The sequence below is a fragment of the Homo sapiens genome, chromosome 1 (assembly GCF_000001405.40).
Source record: "Homo sapiens chromosome 1, GRCh38.p14 Primary Assembly".
In the NCBI taxonomy this organism is placed as follows: Eukaryota; Metazoa; Chordata; class Mammalia; order Primates; family Hominidae; genus Homo; species Homo sapiens.
Genome location: NC_000001.11, coordinates 212,228,642 through 212,248,530, shown reverse-complemented (window position 1 = coordinate 212,248,530; position 19,889 = coordinate 212,228,642). Strand labels below are relative to the sequence as shown.

General features: G+C 44.7%; 1 long non-coding RNA gene across 3 annotated transcripts in view; it reads left to right on the top strand.

Annotated features, from left to right (window-relative positions):
• Positions 1–19,889, top strand: part of LINC02608 (long intergenic non-protein coding RNA 2608) — a 72,020-nt gene that overhangs the window by 36,491 nt on the left and 15,640 nt on the right. For 2 of the 3 annotated variants that reach the window (NR_125982.1, NR_125983.1), the window contains exons 1-2: positions 13,795–14,028; positions 18,272–18,328. This is a non-coding gene — a long non-coding RNA (long intergenic non-protein coding RNA 2608). Of the gene's footprint in view, positions 1–9,554; positions 9,625–13,794; positions 14,029–18,271; positions 18,329–19,889 lie in introns of those variants that run through there. The other variant, NR_125984.1, reaches the window with a different exon arrangement.

Below are 19,889 nucleotides of genomic sequence, written 5' to 3'. Positions count from 1 at the left end.
TCCCATCCTACCCAACCTTAACTCCCAACAAACAGCTCCTCCTTTTCCTTTGAGACACAGTTACAATGTTATCTCTACAATTTCCTCAGGTAGTATTAATGGATTCCCTTTTGTTCTCTTTGTAATTTGCCTAATTACTCTGAATTGCCATCATTTACTTACACATTTGTCTCCTTCAAAAGACTTTGAGCCTCAAGAAGATCTGTGTCTTGTATGGATTTTTATGGCCTAGTCCATGTCAGGTACTCAGTAAATGATGAAAGAATAACCCTTGCCCAGCTGTGCTGCCTACTGTCACCTGGTTTTATCAAGCAGTGGTCAAGAACAGAGTCCCCAGAGTCAGATGAGTCCAAATCCCAGTTCCATTCCCTTACTAGCTGTGTGGCCACCCACTTGAGACTAACCTTATCTACCCTCTCTCTGGCTTAGTCTTCTCATCTGTAAAACGGGGATAATGATAGTACCTACCTCATAAAGTGGCCATGAGAATTAAGTGAGGTTAATCTATATCAAGGGACAAGGGACCAGCACAGTACTTAGCACACAGCAAGCACTCACTCTCCATTCTTATTATTATTAGCTTAGAAAACAGCCTTCCAATATATTGATAACACTTATAGAAAATTACGTGTGTGTGTGTGTGTGTGTGTGTGTGTGTGTGTGTAGAAATACATGGGAAAGTGTCCACTAAAGTGATATTTTATGGTTTTTTAACTTACATTTTTCTTTACTGTTTGACTGTTTCACAATAAATATCAATTTTTATATGTACACTTAGCCACTTTAACTCCCAGAATACACCCATACATACACACAAACACTCCAATCCATAATATGCATATACAAACCCCACCAGCACACAGACACAACCACATAAACTCCCTCAGGAGGCAGAAACTCTGAGTTCAGATGTGACTCAAGCTCAGGGACATTGAAAACATGCCTACATAGTGGGAATGTTTAGACTTTAGGCCATCTCTGGCTCACAGCCAGTAGCGGGGAGCAGGCACTCCACCAGCTCTGGAATAAGAAAGTGGCATTCCTATCCATCCAAGCCTTCAAGTAAACACCCAACCTGGGTGTCTGGAGACAGACCCCCTTATGAAATGCAGGCCGTGGAGGAGAGACCCATCTATGCTGATTTCTCTCGCGGGGTGGAAGTGTGGAGGTGAGGAGCGGAGGGCTGGACCCGCCGCACAATACACAGAAGAATGCTGGGAAGTTAACTATCTCTCAGACCGTGCTGTTCAGAGGAAAAGGAACTGTCTAACTACTGTCAGAAAATGATTTATTTTTAGTCCCAAAAGCTTAGGAAATGCTAGAACTGGATGGTTGGAGCTAAATCCTACATTTTAATTGGAACTTCCTTTTTCTTTCACTGAAAAAGAAAACTTGTAATGACTTTTGAACTGGCCTTAGTGCTTAGACTACAATTTCACTATAGTTTTATATCAAATGTATTATCATAATTAGCCTACTCCATGTTAGAGTGTATTGTGACCAAGAAAAATCAGATGCCATAATGACTTCCAGAAATCAAATCTGCTTTTCTGTTGCCTCAGAAATGAGGCAAATCTTTGGACCCAGGTACCAACCCTGACATTTGGAGAAGAATCTGGGAAGATCCGTAGCAAACAGAACAGAACCCTATCCAGGGTTGAAGACTCTCATAGGGTGGGCACCAGTGCCAGGCCCCTGGTGTATACCCAGTTTGGAGTCAGGTAGGGAAATCACAGCATCAGGAAGAACCTATAGCTCCCCGACTCAAGGCAGCAAAGAAAGGGGGGAATCCCTTTGCTTAAAAAGACATGGTCTCAGGTTCTGTGTGGTGGCTCATGCCTATAATCCCAGCACTTTGGAGGCTGAATCGGGTGAATCACTTGAGGCCAGGAGTTCGAGACCAGCCTGGCCAATATGGTGAAACCCTGTCTCTACTAAAAATACAAAAAAATTAGTCAGGCGTGTGCCTGTTGTCCCAACTACTTGAGAGGCTGAGACAGGAGATTTGCTTGAACTCGGGAGCGGAGGTTGCAGTGAGCCGAGATCTCGCCACTGCACTCCATTGAAACAATTAGAAGAAAGAATCTAGCATTCTATCTTTGTATGTGGAGATCCTGTGTTGAAGTTTGCAGAAATATGTAACTGACCAGGGCTACCATGTACAGACACGGAGGTTGTACAGTATGTGATCTATACAACCCACCTTCCACACTTAGAATGTGTGCTGCACAACTTAGCACTGAATTCTATACTGTCTCATGTAACACAGATGATCCCAATCATCACCAGGCAAATGAGAAACAATTCAGGCAATAAATGAAGAGAAAGTAGCATTAACAACAAATATTTTACTAACTTGCAACTTCCTCTTGTGAATCAGGACCTCAGCTTTTCTTCTGCCACCTCAAATTTCCTAGTTCTTTCTTTTCTAAAATTGAGGTTTACGTATGTAATTACATATCATAAAATGTGCCATTTTAAGGTGTACAACTCAGCGGCTTTTAGTATTTCACAACTCTGTACAACCATCACCACTATCTAGTTCCAGAATATTTTCATCACTGAAAAAGATAACCCCCTACCCACAAAACAGTCACTTCCCATTAATTCCCATCTCCTCCCAGCCCCTGGCAACCATTAATTTGCTTTCTGTCTCCATGGCTTTGCCTGTTCTGGACATTTCATATAAATGGAACCAAACAGTATATGGCCTTTTATGACTGGCTTCTTGCCTTAGCATGTTGTCAAGGTGCATCTATGTGGTTGTATGTATCAGTGCTTCATTCATTCTCCCAGTTATTTCTGGGCATCCCAGATGATGGTTCTCATGCACTCAGGCCTAAGTCTGCTCATGCACATCTGCCCCCAAGAAACCACCTGGAAGAAAGGCCTCGAAGCTGCTCCCTCTGCCTACTTTAAGGATGTCATTTTCCCACATGGGTTCCATCTCCTGGTATTTTTCAAACTGGGAACCCTGAGGTGTCAAGTGATATTCAGTTACCATCAGTCCTCTCCCCTCTGCACTAGAGATACATTCTGTGCAGACCTGGGAACACTGTCTCTCCCTGCTTGAGTGCTGCCCATTTGCATTACTATTAAAAAAAAAACCTGGGGCTGGGTAATTTATAAAGAAAAGAAGTTTGATTGGCTCACACTTCTGCAGACAGTACAAGGAGCGTGGTGCTGGCATCTGCTTCTGGTGAGGGTCGCAGGAGGTTTACAATCATGGTCGAAGGTGGAGGGGGTGCAGGTGCCTCACATGGCAAGAGCAGGAGCAAGAGAGCGAGCCAGGGGAGGTTCCACACACTTTTGAACAACCAAATCTCATGAGAACTCTCTATTACTAGGACAACACCAAGCCATGAGGGATTCTCCCCGATGACCCAAAGACCTCCCACCAGGCCGCACCTCCAACACTGGGAATTACATCTCAACATAAGATTTGGAAGGGACATGCAAACTGTATCACCGGTCCTTAGGAAGGCACCATCTTCAGCTTTTAATTACGTCTCCTTCTGGTGTCTGAAGACAGGCCTGCTCTTCCACTCCCCCATCTCTCTCACTCACTCTGATCCTAGAGACTTGGGTTGGGAGGGAGCCCAAGACAAAACAAACTCTCTGTCTTCAGCTAGGTTCCCTCAGAAGCACATCTTAAGACAAGAATTGGTGTGGACGTGATTTTTTTTAGGATGTGTTCCCAGGAAAAAACAGTAGGGGTGTGAGAAGGTGGAATGAGGAATATGTGGAATCCAGAAAAAGATGTGGAATCCAGAAAAGGATATGGAATCAAGTGAAATCCCACAGAGGGTAACTTGAGCTCAGTCCCACAGGGCAGTGACAGTGTAAGTGAGACCTCAGAGTGGAGTGTTTACTCACTGCACCTGCCAGTCACTGGGTAAGGGCTGCTTTCCGGGTGTGTAAAGTCCAGACCCTTCAGCTCTCTGTGCCTTCATGCAAAGGGGGTCCTGGCAGCCTGAGAGCAGCCCTTTGACATAGAGATGCAAGTGCTGGCTGTTAGAAGTGAAAGCACACATTTCTGCTACACTGTTTCTCGAGGATTCTTTTTCCAACAAATATATCAGAACCTCCTACATCACAGTGCTGAGCACTTAGTATCTGTAATAGATAGATGGACAGAGAGAAAGAGAGAGAAGGAAAGAGAGAGCGAGGCTCCACTAGAGGCCTAAAAGTAAATTTTTACAGTCATAATTTTCTTTTGAATCATTTGAAAAAATAAGAGTACATTATATACATCTCTGGCTAACTCTTCCACTTACTGTACATACTTTGGCATGTGCAAAAGAAAATGAAACCAGTAGCTGCTAGATGGTTGATGTAAAGAAAGGAAACACAGGCCGGGCGTGGTGGCTCAGGCCTGCACTTTGGGAGGCCAAGGCGGGCAGATCACCTGAGGTCAGGAGCTCAAGACCAGCCTGGCCAACATGGTGAAACCCCGTCTCTACTAAAAATACAAAAATTAGCCAGGTGTGGTGGCACACGCCTGTAATCCTAGCTATTTGGGAGGCTGAGGCAGGAGAATCACTTGAACCTGGGAGGTGGAGGTTGCAGTGAGCTGAGATTGCACCATTGCACTCCAGCCTGGGCGACAAGAGCAAAACTTCGTTTCAAAAAAAAAAAGAAAGAAAGGAAGGAAACACAGACACTCAGGGAAATCTGTTTCATGAAGTTCCAGGTGACAAAGTTGATTGTCAACAAAGTGTCCAGTGTTTGATAAGCCAGGGATGCCTGATAATGTACTTCTCACCCTGGGTGTTGGAGGATCCCTCTCTGGTGTATGGAATGAATCTTATTTTCTTTCTTCTTTTTTTTTTTTTTTTTAGATGGAGTCTCTCTCTGTCACCCAGGCTGGAGTGCAGTGGCACGATCTCAGTTCACTGCAACCTCCACCTCCTGGGTTCAAGAGATTCTCCTGCTTCAGGAGAACCCAGGGAGCAGAGAACATAGCTCTGTAACTAACTTGGGAATGTTGTTGAGCTTCTTTGTTTTTCTCTTTCCTCAACTGTTTTGCCTCCCTCTCAAGGTTGATGTAAAGATGAAATCAACGGATATAAAAAGACTTTGAGAAACAAGGTATAATGTATTATTTTAAATGGTTTTTGGATTTTTACAAAGAAATATCAGTAATGGAGAGGAAAAGCTTAAAGAATGAGACTGAGAAGGTTCCCCTGAGTCCTCAGTGAAGTCTCAGTCTCAGTGGGAATTCACCATGACCCCAGATCTGGCCTGTGACTGTACATTCATTAACCTCACCATTAGCAGCTACTTTAGACCTTCCAGGCAACAGTTGGACTAATCACTAAAGGTCCATGAAGGGTCCTTGGCAGAACTAAGGTCAGGAGAGAAGGCAAAAGGGGAATACAAGATAGGCTGAGGGGGGGAAACAGATGAGAGAGAGAGAAGGCAGGGGTCTGGGGGAGGTGTGGGGGAGGTAAATGCATTAAGAAGTAAGGAGTAAAGAACAGAGAGGAAACAGAGGTGACCATGCTGGACAAGGGCAGACACCATTAGAAGCTCCTCCTGCGACATTCACAACCTGGGCTTCTACAGTAGAGGCCACATCAGCCACATACTCTTCACAGCCCTGTTCCCAACTCTCAACCTGCCTTTCCAAATCATTTAAGGGGAAAAGAGTGGGGAGGGTCTCCAAGAAAATCTGACCTTGACCCCCACAGCTCTCCAGCAGGTTTGGGCAGAAGGTGGCTAGAGAGCCCGGAAGCAGAGCCCTGATCTGGCCGGTAAACAGAAGGCCCTCAGTGAGCATGCCAGCCTGTAAGTTGTCCTTTTGTTTTGCAGGCTTTACCGAACACGGTTTTATTTCATGTGACTGTGCTATTTCAGGAGGAGTAAATATTGCCGGCGGTCTGTTTAAAAAGGCCAATGACCTGAAATGTTGTGGGGTTTTTTGTCTTTTCTTTTCCATTTGAATTATCTCCAAGAGGCAGGCTTGCCCAAGTATCGTGCAGTTTTAACTCACTGGCTTTTGGTTGTAACTTTCCCTTTTTGTCTCATGATATGCTGGACTGGAAAACAAGACAGCAAAGATATGAAGATAAAGAGGCGAAGAGCTGACCTAGGCTCCAGGAAAGAACGGGGAGATGTCCAGGGTGTAACCCGGAAGAGGGCAGGGAGTCATAGGCTCTCTGCTGCCTTCACTGTTTCCGGAGCTGGTGTTTGACCTATAATTATAGTCTCTTTCCTCTGATTTCCTCTGTGAAAATAGCAACATTCAGACTAAGCGCAGAGTAGAAAAAATGCGCTACATAAAGGATCAGGGATTTATAAATACGGCCAAAATTACAGGATTGTTACCCCCGTGGTTTAGTTCTCTGAAGAGAAGGTTGGGAAGAGACAGCACAGTTCTTCAAACTTGACTCAGGTCCTAAAATACCTAGGTCTGCCTCTTTGGGGGCCAAGTCAGGGAGAGATTCACTGCAATTATTTTTTCACTGGATGTCAAAACATTGTAAAAATGGATGACCCTGGCCAGGCACATCCACACTCTCAGGATTTTTATTTTCACTTCTTAAGAATTCTCACTCATCACCTAATTGTTCTGCCTCCTCATCAAACTTATTATCTCTAAGGAATAGCTAGGGGTGAAGGATATCCTCGTCTTAGCCCACTACCTCCCAATCTTCTAAGACCTGCTTTTCCCCTAGACAATGTGTTCATGTTGGAAACATCATGTTCTTAGATGACCCAGAACCTGGTCACAGCTGGAACACACATTGGCCCTCCCATTGGGATTTCTTAACTTAGAACAAGTGAAAGATCAGCTAAGTTCATCTCTGGTGATAGAAACTGTCCTATGGAAATATGGCCATGGAAATGGAGATAGCCTGTCTGCAGTAAAAGAGAAATGAAGCAACCATGAGTGAGAAACAGATGCACAGTAGAGACAAAGGCCGGCACAGTGAAGTCCCTGGTGCTTGTGGTTCCTGAGGCCCAGCTCCATGTTTTCCTGACCTTTTCTTAGTTTGGATACTCAACCTTTCTATGGATTCCATAAGCTAATATATTCCCTTTTTTGCTAAACTAGTTCAAGGGGAGTTTCTGATGTGTGTAGCCAAAAGTCTTAACTGACGCAATATAGTTAATGCCAAGGATTCTCCAGGAGAGTTGGCAAAGCAATATGATCAGTGCAGTATCTCAAAACTGGTTTCACAAAAGGGTTAAGAGCGATATTTATGGTATGCTGACTTTGAACAACTATCACTACCTACTTTTCAGAAAGATAAATGTTGGGAAGAGGAATGAACATATCCCAAGCAGCATTTATGACCCAACAGCTGAAGAAGAGGAGGGGACATGGAAAAACGCTTGTGGCCTGGCCTCTGCCTTCTTGTGGAATCACATATAAGATTTCTAGGTAGGAGATTTCTATAAGGGACTGCAAGAATTATTTTCCCAGCACCCATCACAATGTCGTAACTCTCAACATTGGATCTGCAATCAGTTAAAACCCATGTTTTCCTCTCAGTAGAATAGTGACTGAAGAAGAGTGACTGGTCAGCATGACAACTTTTCTACGCTTAAGAGTTGTTACCTCCACACGAAAAGATTACAGTCCTCTCTATGTGTCAACGAGGCAAATATAACAGCCTGTCATAGTGGTGTAGAAAATGCCCTGGACTGGGCCGGGTGCAGTGGCTCACGCCTGTAATCCCAGCACTTTGGAAGGCCGAGGTGGATGGATCACCAGAGGTCAGGAGTTCGAGACCATCCTGGCTAACACAGTGAAACCCCGTCTCTACTAAAAATACAAAAGATGAGCCAGGCGTGGTGTCACATGCCTGTAGTCCCAGCGACTCAGGAGGCTGAGGCAGGAGAATCACTTGCACCCAGGAGGCAGAGGTTGCAGTGAGCCAAGATCATGCCACTGCACTCCAGCCTGGGTGACAGAGTGAGACTCCGTCTCGAAACAAAAAAAAAAGAAAAGAAAAGAAAAGAAAATTCTCTGGACTGTGTCCAAGGACCTGGATTCCAACCAAAGTTTTGCTACCGAGCACTTATAGAACTAGCTAAGCCTCTCAGTCCAGTTTCCTCATCTGTTAAATAAGGAATTGGGCTAGATGATCCCTAAAATCTCTTCCAGCTCTCGTATGCCATGGCTCTAAGGTAAATTACTAGCCTAGAATCATTCTCCACAATGAATACTATCTGCTTTCCACCAAAAACAAGGGGGAAAAAGGGAGAAAGAACAAGAAATTCAGATATTTTGTTTTCTCATATTTAAGGTGAGATGATTCTTTTTATAAAATTAAGATTATTTCTAACATCATTAGATCTTCTAAAAATAACAGGTTTATTAAATAAGAAATGTATATTTACTGTAGAAAAATGTAAATACACATAAGCAAAAAGAACTTAAATAACCTAAAATCCTTCCTATCAGAGACAGCCTCCATTAATATGTTGATGTATAAATGAAAATGTTTTTCTATACACACATATACATTTTTTCCTTCTGAAAATAGGATCAGACTATTCATTCTGTTTTTCAAGTGGATCCTGACATTTAGCAACATACTGAAAAAAATCTTTCTATGTTAATAAGTATACTTATATAGCATTGATTTCAACAGTTATATGGTAATCTGTTGTTTAGGTACATCCCCTATGGCTGGATAGTTACATTTATTTTTCACTATTAACAGTCTTATAAATATACTATGTGCAAACATGTATGTTTTTTAAGGCTTCTGAGTGCACAGCCAGCAGCAATACAGCATAAGTAGGGAGGAAGGAGCTGTCACATCCTTCTTTATAGATGCATGCACTAGGCAAGCTCCTCCTAACAATCAGATGGTTACGGGGAACCATTTGATTCCCCTATGCCATGTGACTACCACCATCCTGGTCACAACTGATTGGATTAGCATCCTTTTCTCCCCTAAAAGCAACCATCTGGGAGTGGCCCAAAGCCTATGAGGGGGCAGGAGACCCCTTCCCTGAGAGGGATTCCTACCTTGGGTGGTGGGTGGACAAACTGAGCAGATTCTCCCTCAAGTTACTGAACACAACACACACAAGAGGCCTTTAGTCAGCAAGGGCAGGAGCAGGCAACAGTGGATTCCCCACAACGTCAGAGAGGAAGGAGTCCTATCCAGTGTGGTTCCCAGAGCCGCCCTCCCTGGCTCCGGCTAGTTTAACCTGGAGGGTGAAGGGACAGCCTCCAGAGCCAGAGAACCTGGCTTTGGATCCTGGTTCCATCACTTCTTACCTAGAGGATCTCTGGTTAGTCCCTTTGCCTGTCTGACCCTGAGTTTCCTCATCTGAAAATGAGGAGATTAACACCTACTACAAAAGGTCACTGTGAAAACTAAACAAAATAATATATTAAAAAGCCTTTAGAAGAATGCCTGGTATAGAATAGGTAGTATTATGCCTCTGCTGGGAAGGTTTGTTTTACCTAGAACCACAGGAGTTTAAGGAGTGCTATAGGTCACTGATACCTGCAAGGACAAACTGGTGACTTCGGATACCCTGTTATTATTAGTTTACTCTTTAAGTGTTTTCGTCTCCTCCACCAGCTTGGCGAACTCCTTGAGGACATGGGCTTTGTTTTCTGTTCCATTTTACCCTCCACTGTGCCTTCGCAGGGTAAGCTCCTAATCTGTGATTGATTCTGCTGATTAGTGAGATTGTCTTTTCCTTGTTGAGCCAGCACAGCCAGTTTGAACCAGTGTAGTGGGCAGCTGGCCCGGCAGCCTAGCTCTCCTCCCTCCATGACAGCCTTCCAGAAGTAACTCTCCCTGGAAGGCAGGCAGAGCACAGCAGCCCTCAGCAGCAAGTGGAAGCTTTGTGTTCAACGCAGAGCCAGCCAAACTCTTGGGACTGGAAGTTGTCACCTATTGCAGTTTGCAGGCTTGAAAAAACATCCCCATCGAAGCTAACCCAGAACCTCCTACAGCATGTGCCAGGGCTGACAAAATGTAGAGGTGCAAGTCTGTTTTAGGGACTGCTTCCTTCAGGAAAGCCTGCTTCCTGAGAAGGCCTGAAGGACACGCCGTGGCTTCCCTCTCTGGTGTGTCCTGAGGCTAGAACCCCAAATAAAGGGAATGAAGTCATGAGGTCAGTGAAAGTTGTTGGTCCTTCTCACCGATTCAGTCCCTCCTGAACTTGCCTGCTGGCCTACCTAGGCCACCAAACATGGGCCTTGAATGCCTAATTGCCCAGCAGCTACCAAGACACGGTTTCACATAAGCTGGAGAGAGGCTCAGCTAAACAGGACAACTAGAGAGGAAGGAGATCCTGAGTAGCAGCAGCAAGTTTGGAGCTAAAGGTGTCAGAGCACAGGGATTCAAACTTTTTTTTTTTTTTTTAACATTCCTCTGTGCCAGGTATTAGACTGGGTGTGTTGCATAATAATATGCATAATAATAATATTAAAAGCTAAAACATAGTACACACCATCTGCCAATTACTATGCCAAGCATTTTACACATATTAACTCATTTAATCATTACCAAAAACCATTGAAGTAGGTAGTATTATTATCTCTATTTTACAGATAAAAAAACTGAGGCACAGTAATTTGTTTAAGGTCTCACAGCTACTAAATGGCACACCTGGACATGCACATAATTCTACTGTTATAATTTGAAACTGTCCCCTTTGAAACTCATGTTGAAACTCACTCTCCAGTGAAACAGTATCAGGAGGTGGGGCCTTTCAGAGGTGACTGAGTCATGAGGGCTCTGCCCTCATGATTGGATTGACTAGTCCATTCCTGGGTTAATGGATAATAGGTTATCATTGTGTGAGTGGGTTAGTTATCACAAGAGTGTGTCTGTTATAAAAAGCCAGGTTGGTTCTCTCTCATGAGCCCCCTCACCATGTGATGTCCCAAGCTGCCTTGGGACTCTGCAGAGGGTCCCCATAAGAGGAAGGCCCCGACTAGATGGAATCCTTTGTCCCTGGACTTCTCAGCCTCCAGAACTGTAAGAAATAAATTCCTTTTTTCTGCCTCAGCCTCCCAAGTAGCTGGGACTACAAGCTCCTGCCACCACACCCGGCTAATTTTTTGTATTTTTAGTAGAGATGGGGTTTCACCATGTTAGCCAGGATGGTCTTGATCTCCTGACCTCGTGATCCGCCTACCTCGGCCTCCCAAAGTGCTGGGATTACAGGCGTGAGCCACTGCGCCCAGCCAAATAAATTCCTTTAAAAAAAAAAGTACCTAGTCTCAGGGATTTAGTTATTGCAACAGAAAGCAGACTAAGACACCTACTGGAAAGCTTTTCAATTAAAGTCTAATATGATCATCTACACATGTATACATTTAATTCTCATAGTAAGTCTATAAGCTACGTTAATGTGGTCTCATTTTACAGATGAGAAAACTGATGGTCAGAGAGGTTAAATATGTTCAAGTTCCATAAGTAACAAGTGGTGAATATCATGCCAGTCCTGTGTGGCTCCACCACACCCTGACACAAAAAGAAGACCTTGCAAAAGAACAGGAAAATGCTTAGTGGGCTTAGGAAAGGAGGCCACTGCAAAACCACAAAAATTGGGAATATGCTACCCTGCAGGAGGTAGCACCCAGGCACAGCAAAGGGTGGAGGCTCCGGAACCAATCTGATTACTTGCCCCACTGCAACTTTCCAATCACACCAATTAGCCAGATTGATTTAAATCTGATAGTGGCAGATTTCTAAACGCCTTTTACAAAGGTGAACCTGGCAATGCTTAAAAACTGGCTCTAAATGCAGCCAAATCTCAAATAGAAAAATCTCCAAGCTTTACACTCTCTGCTCACTTTCTAAGCCACCTATTTTTTTTTTCTTTTCTTCTCTCCTTCCCAGTTAGGATAATTAAGATCTTAGAATCATAGACCTGGAAGTTTAGAGATGATTTAGCGCCCCTCTGCTTGCTTTAAGGCTACTTACTGCAACAGTTACCTCCCTCTGTATGTTTAAACCTTTTCTCCCTGACAGAAGAAGGTTTGCCCTTGTAAATGGGATTGAGTGATCAGCTAGTGGCAGAGCTATTTTAAGGCACCTGCCTGGAATCTCACAATGGAGGGTGATGCAGAAGGCACCTCCTTAAAGATGGCTTTGTCTACCGACCCCCTACTACCACCACCACCCACCCAGGTCCTCATTGGGGAAGGCCAGAGGATCTACTCTGCCTTTTCCAAACCTAAAGGAGCTCTTGGAAGGGTCATCAGGAAGACAGAAAGAAATAGGACCTATTAAGGAACTAACATGCAAATAATGACAGTAAGATAAGATTGTGTTAACAGACTTGTAAGGAGTTTTATATGAGCACCCAAACCAAAAACTACCAGTGCCTGCAGGGATCCAGAAACCTCACCAAGGAGGATGCCCAGGGAAGGAACTGAGGCCTAGGGAAGCTGCAGGCCTGGGAGGTTACATGGTTTCTCCACTGAAGGCAGGCAGCGCTGGTTTTGCAACCTGACTTTCCCCTTGCTAGCGTGGGACTACAACCAGTGACACACCCTGGCATTCCCAGCCTTTATTTTCATTGTGCAGCTGTCTGATTGGGTGGGTCCCTACACTAAAATGGAAAAGATAACGACTACAAAATTGAATTACACCGTAGACAGATTCTTTATTACCACCACCAAGCACTCACTGATTACCCAGCTCCTTTTAGATTGAGCGAGTTTGACCAATGGAGTGGAGGCATATACTAAGCTCAGCATCTCTGGGTCCCTCCCCACTGTAGCTAAGTTCCCAGCCATGGTACTGTTGAGGCCCTAAGTTCCCAGGGTGAAGATCTGACTATGACACCAACAGGCAAATCAGGACAACAATCATCTTAGTCCCACACCAGTTTCTCAACAGAAGCTAACAACTTACATTGATTAAATGTCGGCTAAGCATCAGGCACTCTGATGAGTGCTATATATACATTGTATATATACAATGAATCAGGTACATTATTATGTCTATTTCTTTTTTTTCGTTCTTTCTTTCTTTTTTTTTTTTTTTTTTTTTGAGACAGAGTTTTGCTCTTGTTGCCCAAGCTGGAGTACAATGGCTCAATCTCGGCTCACTGCAACCTCTGCCTCCCGGGTTCAAGCAAGTCTCCTGCCTCAGCCTCCCAAGTAGCTGGGATTAACAGGTGCGTGCCACCACATCTGGCTAATTTTTGTATTTTTCGTAGAGACAGGGTTTCACCATGTTGGCCAGGCTAGTCTCGAACTCCTGAGCTCAGGTGATCCACCTGCCTTGGCCTCCCAAAGTGCTGAGATTACAGGCGTGAGCCACCGCTCCTGGCCTATTATGCCTATTTCACAAATGAGGAAATTTTAAGAGATTAGGTCACTTGCCCAAGGTTGGCCCACTGAACCATGAACTCCAGGAGACTAAGGACTGCTTTATTTCTGATGCCTCCCTCACACCCAGAACGGTGCTAGACACAGGGAAGATGTTCAATTAAAAAAAATTCCTAAATGGATGAATGAACAAGTACTAAATGCTGAAGCAAAGAGGAATGTGTTCTCCAGAAAGAGAATGAGAAATATAAATGGACAAGCAGAGAGGAAGATATTCCGTAGGCTAACTAGAAGAGCTGTAATAATCTACAGCTCTTTTAACCTTCCCTTTATCCTTGTAGCTTTCCCATTGAGTGTTTTCAATGGGAAATGTCTAACTGCTCTGTGGGTGTACACCACGGCCAGTTGCTAATTTTGGAACACTTGTGAATCCTGGGCCCAGAGTCATGACCAATACTGGTGAGTCATACTCCCCATACAGAGCTCCCTACACACTGCCTGTCAGAAAAAAAAAAAAAAAAAAAAAAAGCAAAACAGAAGTTGCCATCTCATCCTTTGCTCTAGTTGCCTCATTTTACCTTCTGAAATGATGGAGGAAGTTCTGCTGAGGATGGGGTCAGGGTAACAGCAGACTTCTGAATAACTCTGCACCCCCAGAAACCTGCAAAGGACACAGGCCCTCTTGGTGGTCTCCTCCTGGATGCCTTGCTTTCTCCTGGAAGAGTCCTCCCTTCCACCCCGGATATCACTGTGAACCTGTAAGTGGCAGTACCTTCTTTCTAGTAGGCAATGTCTACTGTGCCATCCTAGGCAGGTATAATACATAAAATAACCTGTCACCTGGGACCATTAGCTTCTTTAACAAAGGACAAATTTCATTCCATACTGGAGAGAAAGGTTTTAAAATACAAGTGTCCTGGAGAGAGGAAACATGTTGACTTAAAGTCACACAAACGTGCAAAGACCTGACAGCAGTCCTTTCTGGGGCAGAAAGAAAGCAGAGAGCTCAGGGGGATAGAACCCTCGAACACGGACTATTGGGTACTTCAGATCCAACCTGTGGACTCTCATTCAGGTTGGGGGTTATTAATTTTTTTTTTTTTTGAGACGGAGTCTGGCTCCGTGATCTCAGCTCACTGCAAGCTCCGCCTCCCGGGTTCATGCCATTCTCCTGCCTCAGCCTCCCGAGTAGCTGGGACTACAGGCACCCGTCAACATGCCTGTCTAATTTTTTTGTATTTTTTAGTACAGATGGGGTTTCACTGTGTTAGCCAGGATGGTCTTGATCTCCTGACCTCGTGATCTGCCCGCCTCGGTCTCCCAAAGTGCTGCGATTACAGGCGTGAGCCACTGTGCCCAGGCCTATTGGGGGTTATGCAGGTTCCTTTGCTTGGCCATGGTAGATGGCTAAGTCTTTGCTTCCAAGTTCTTTTGACCATGAGACATGTAGAGCCAGGGAGGAAAGAGAAAATCCAAACCAGGTCACTGTTACCTGTGAATAACATCTTGATCGAGTTCTGAGAAGAGGAGTGATGATACTAAAGGTTAAGTGGAGGTTTTCACTCCTCTTCAGATTTTGACTTTTATAACTTTGCCATTCCTTTACTGTAGAGAACTGAGAAAGAATAGTATATGGGCATGTGAGGAGATTCCAGCTGCATAAGCAGATCATGAATGTTTCCAGTGCCAAGTCCTCAGCCAAGAGTGCCCCAGGAGTTTCATTCCTACTAACCAACCTGGGTAACACAGGCATAAGAACAGAGAGAGAAGTGGTGCTTTTAAAAATAGATCTGACTTAGTAGTCTTTAAATAACTAAGGATTATGATATGGGAGAGGGCTACTTTGCATCTCCATCTCTGCTGAGAGAAGAACTTGAAAAAATGGGCATGAAACTAAAGGGATTTGTGCTTGCTGAGTAAGAGCTTCTACAAGGTAAGAAAGCTGTTGAAGAAGAGAATTTGCTTCTCTGTATCAGGATGGACATTCACTTGACTGTGATGGTCACTGAAATGTAGCCTACCTTGACATAGAGTAAATTCTTGCTCTTCAAAGTGTGGTCCCCAGATCAGCAGCAGCAGCATCACCTGGGAGCTTGTTAAAGACGCTGAGGCCCCACCCTGACCTCCTGAATAAGAATCTCCTCTCAGCCGGGCGCAGTGGCTCACACCTGTAATCCCAGCACTTTTGGAGGCCGAGGCGGGCAGATCATGAGGTCAGGAGATCAAGACCATCCTGGCTAACATGGTGAAACCCCATCTCTACTAAAAAATACAAAAAAAAAATAGCTGGGCGTGGTGGCAGGCACCTGTAGTCCCAGCTACTCAGGAGGCTGAGGCAGGAGAATGGTGTGAACCCAGGAGGTGGAGCTTGCAGTGAGCCAAGATCATGCCACTGCAGTCCAGCCTGGGTGACAGAGCGAGACTCCATCTCAAAAAAAAAATCTCCTCCCTAACAAAGTTCCCAGGTAAAATGCTTGAACCTTATGGACTAAGAAGCGCTGGGCTAAATGACCTTTGCAGATTCCTCCTGTGATGGTTAATATTGAGTGCCAACTTGATTGGATTGAAGGATGCAAAGTGTTGTTCCTGGGTGTGTCTGTGAGGGTGTTGCCAAAGGAGATTAACATTTGAGTCAGTGGACTGGGAAAGGCAGACCCACCCTCAGTCTGGGTTGGCACAGTCTAATCAGCTGCCAGTGCGGCCAGAATAAAAGCAGGCAGAAGAACGTGAAAAGACTAGACTGGTTTAGCCTCCCAGCCTACATCTTCCTCCCATGCTGGTTGCTTCCTGCCCTCAAATATCAGACTCCAGGTTATTCAGCTTGGGGACTCAGACTTGCTCCTTGCTCCTCAGCTTGCAGCCAGCCTATTATGGGACCTCATCTTGTGATCGTGTGAGTCAATCCTCTTAATAAATTCCCCTTTATATATAAATCCATCCTATTAGTTCTGTCCCTCTAGAGAACCCTGACTAATACACTTCCTACTTGAGGATTTCATGAGCTGCCACTAGTTGAGAAGTGGTGCAGCCCCTCTGGGGAGGGAGGCCCGGCTGCTAAGGAAGTGGGAGGCACACTGGTATTCTCCTCCCAAGCCACAGCTCTCCACATGCCTTCTGTACAGGGGAGAAAGTACACCTTTCTCCTCATCCTCAAGGGTACCGTAGCTTTAGGTCCTCTGAACACACGAGACCTTCTGTAGCAAATACCTGGGAGCCCAGACAGCTTGTAGAGATTATCTGTGCCTCCCTCAGAACCATGGAGGACTCCCAGAGCAAGGAGGGAGGCAGGCAGTCCAGTGGTCTCTGCAGATCCTAGCTCTCCTCTCACTTGTAAAAGCTATCTGCATGCCTCCCTGGGGGCCACAGGTGACAGGGAGTGCCCAATTTCTGATCTGTTGAAGAATCATAAACCAACTAATATATTTTTTTCCGAAGGTTTTTAAAAACTCATTTTTGCATAAATTATTCATAAATACCAATGAGAAAAAGAACACCCAAAACTAATATAGAGAGTGAGGGGTCTCAAGACACAGTCAACAACCCTTTTGACTAAGAGGATCTAGTTCACAGACACACACACAGAGAGTGTGTTCACCCAGCTGCTGATATTAACTACTACTGCCTTAGTCAACTCTGGCTGCTGTAACACAATACCATAGACTGGGTGGCTCAAACAACGGATGTCAATTTTCTCACAGTTCTGGAGGTGTCTTACAGTCCAAGATCAAAGTACCAGCAGATGTGATTCTTGGTGAGGGCTCTCTTCCTGGCTTGCAGATGGCTGCCTTCTTGCTATGTCCTTGCATGGACTTTCCTTGGTGTGTACCCATGGAGAGAGAGCAAGAAAGAAAGCTCTAGTCTGTCTGTCTTCCTGTTCTTATAAGGGCACTAATCCAATCATGGGGCTCTGCCCTCAGGACCTCATCTATTAATAGTACCACCAGGTTGGGGATTAGGACTTGAACTTATGAACTTTGGAGGGACACAAACATTCATTCCATAACAACTACCAAAGTAGTAGACTTCAGAGCGATTGTTTTCTAATCCATATTTTTCCCCTCAAATCATATGTTCTTGGCTAATACTAATATTGAGTGCCCTAAGACTACATGTTAGAGAAATAGAAAATTTTAGATTATCCATCTTCATAATAACTAGTAGTGCTGTAGAAATGCAGTTCATCAGTCTCTAGGGTCTCTCTATTCTACCATTTCAGGTGGGCTGTGGTCCTATGGTCAAGTCAAAGAGAAGCTGCACTGAATATTTATTCACAGTAAGGACAGCAGTTGAGATCAGAGGCTCTAGAGTTAGAATGACCTGGGTTCAAATGTGACTCTATGACTTCCTACCTGTGACCTTTCCAAACTTTGATTTCCCCATCTATAAAATGGAGGGAATGACAGTACCTTCTATCATTATATATTATTATGTAGTTATGAGGGTTAAGTAATACATGAAAAGCCCTGCCACAGGGTAGAGACTAGATACACAGTGGCTATTACTATTGTTGCAGTTGGTATCATCAGATGTGATACTTATGTTTTCCTAGCTCATATGTGCTCTTTCTACTATCATGCCGAGATCTCCAAGGAGCAGGGATTAAGCTTCCCTCAACAGAATTCCTCTTGTCTTCTTGAGGTTACAAAAGGTCTCCTGCTTCAAGTAACTCAGGGAGCTGCCAATGTAAGGCTCTGCCCTTGTGGGGCATAAGAACTGTTGTGGCCACTTGCCTGTCTACTGGCGCAAAAACTCCTCCAGAGTCCTGGGCATCCAGTAAAACTTGCAGCACAAGTTAGGCCTTTTTTTTTTTTTTAGAGAAGCCAAGAGTCCTCCTCCACCTCCCCAAGCCTCACCGCCCCACTCTATTGAGCAGTGATCTTCATTCACACCTTGACTACCCACTGCCCATTTCCCCTTACATGACTCTTCACCCCTGAGTACATATATGTCATGTACTGGCCTTCAAGAGTGATCTTTCATTTCAGCTTTCATTTCTTCCAGGATTCCCCAGGATCAACCATCTGAGCAGATACCTTGGAATGTCCCCAGATTTCAGAGGTAAGTCACTAGTACTGTCCCACAGTAGTAGACATCATTTCTGCCCTGCCCCTGTGGTCCTAACCATATGCAGTGACATCAAAATCTGGTGTCATATCTCATGGAAGACCCATACCCCCAAAGCCCTTCATCCCATTCCCTTTATCCAGTGCTCATAAACCATGTGAATGACCTGGCCTGCCAGGTAAAGGCCTTGAGCCCTGCTCCTTTTTCAGCCACTCCCAATCAATCTGCCATCATCTCTTCCAGGAAGCTTCCTGCCTTCTCTCCCAAGCCAAGCTGGATTAGGGACCCCTACATTGAGCTCACCCTGTACTTATCTCTATCGTTAACCACTGTACTGGAATGATCTGTGCCTCCATCTGCCTCCCACGCTAAACTGAGTTCCAGGAGGGCTGGGGCCATGTGTTATTCATCTCTGCATCTCCAGCATTTAGACTGTGACTAATATATAGTAAGCAGGCAGTACATGTTGAAAGAAATAAATAAAGGTGGGGAGAGGAAGGGAGGAGGGAAAAGAAAGAAAGCAAGGAAGAAAAAAAGAAGAGGGCGGGCGCAGTGGCTCACGCCTGTAATCCCAGCACTTTGGGAGGCCGAGATAGGTGGATCACAAGGTCAGGAGATCGAGACCATCCTGGCTAAGGCAGTGAAACCCTGTCTCTACTAAAAATACAAAAAAATAGCTGGACATGGTGGCGGGCGCCTGTAGTCCCAGCCAGTTGGGAGGCTGAGGCAGGAGAATGCCGTGAACCTGGGAGGCAGAGCTTGCAGTGAGCTGAGATTGCACCACTGCACTCCAGCCTGGGCGGCAGAGAGAGACTCCGTTTCAAAAAAAAAAAAAAGAAGAAGAAGAAAGGGAAAAGGAGGAAGGTAAGGAAAGAATGAAAGTCATAAGAAGAAGGAAATAATGAGAATAGGCTGGATCGAATTCTGTAGAATAATTCCCAATGTCCCTGAACAGTGACGCTAAAGCCCATCCTTCTCTATATTTAATCTTCCAACATCTTCTTCTCTGTTACTAGTATAAAAACAGAATAAGTTTATATGGGCCCATTAAAATCATTGTCTAAATAATCATGATGATTCCTGGAGCCCTAGGTCATCAGAAACCCCTATAAAGTCCTCTCTAATGACAGCAGGACATAAAACCATCACCAAACACAAACACTGAACCCTTTCCTCGTCACAAATACACACTCCACTCAGCGGCCAAGGTCAGTCACTTCTTGTGTACATGAACCCTCCCCGGTCCGCCCCTGCTGACAAACATTTCCACACACATCCAAGGAGAATGAGAGAGGGACCAAAAAGCTCTTAGGAATTCAGTGGCATAATCACCTTACAGGTATCACCACAAATGGAGAGGGGCAGGAACCCAGAAAGGCAAAAGGCAAAACAAAACAGCTAGATAATCAAGAAAGTATCCACATGTTTACACACACACACCTACTCAACAGTTTAACTTCCCTAATAATGTTTTGCTCCGATTAATAATTAAATGGCCTGTGTACTTTGAATAGACGCCAACTACTTCTCAGCAAGGAGAAGTGGTAGAGAACAT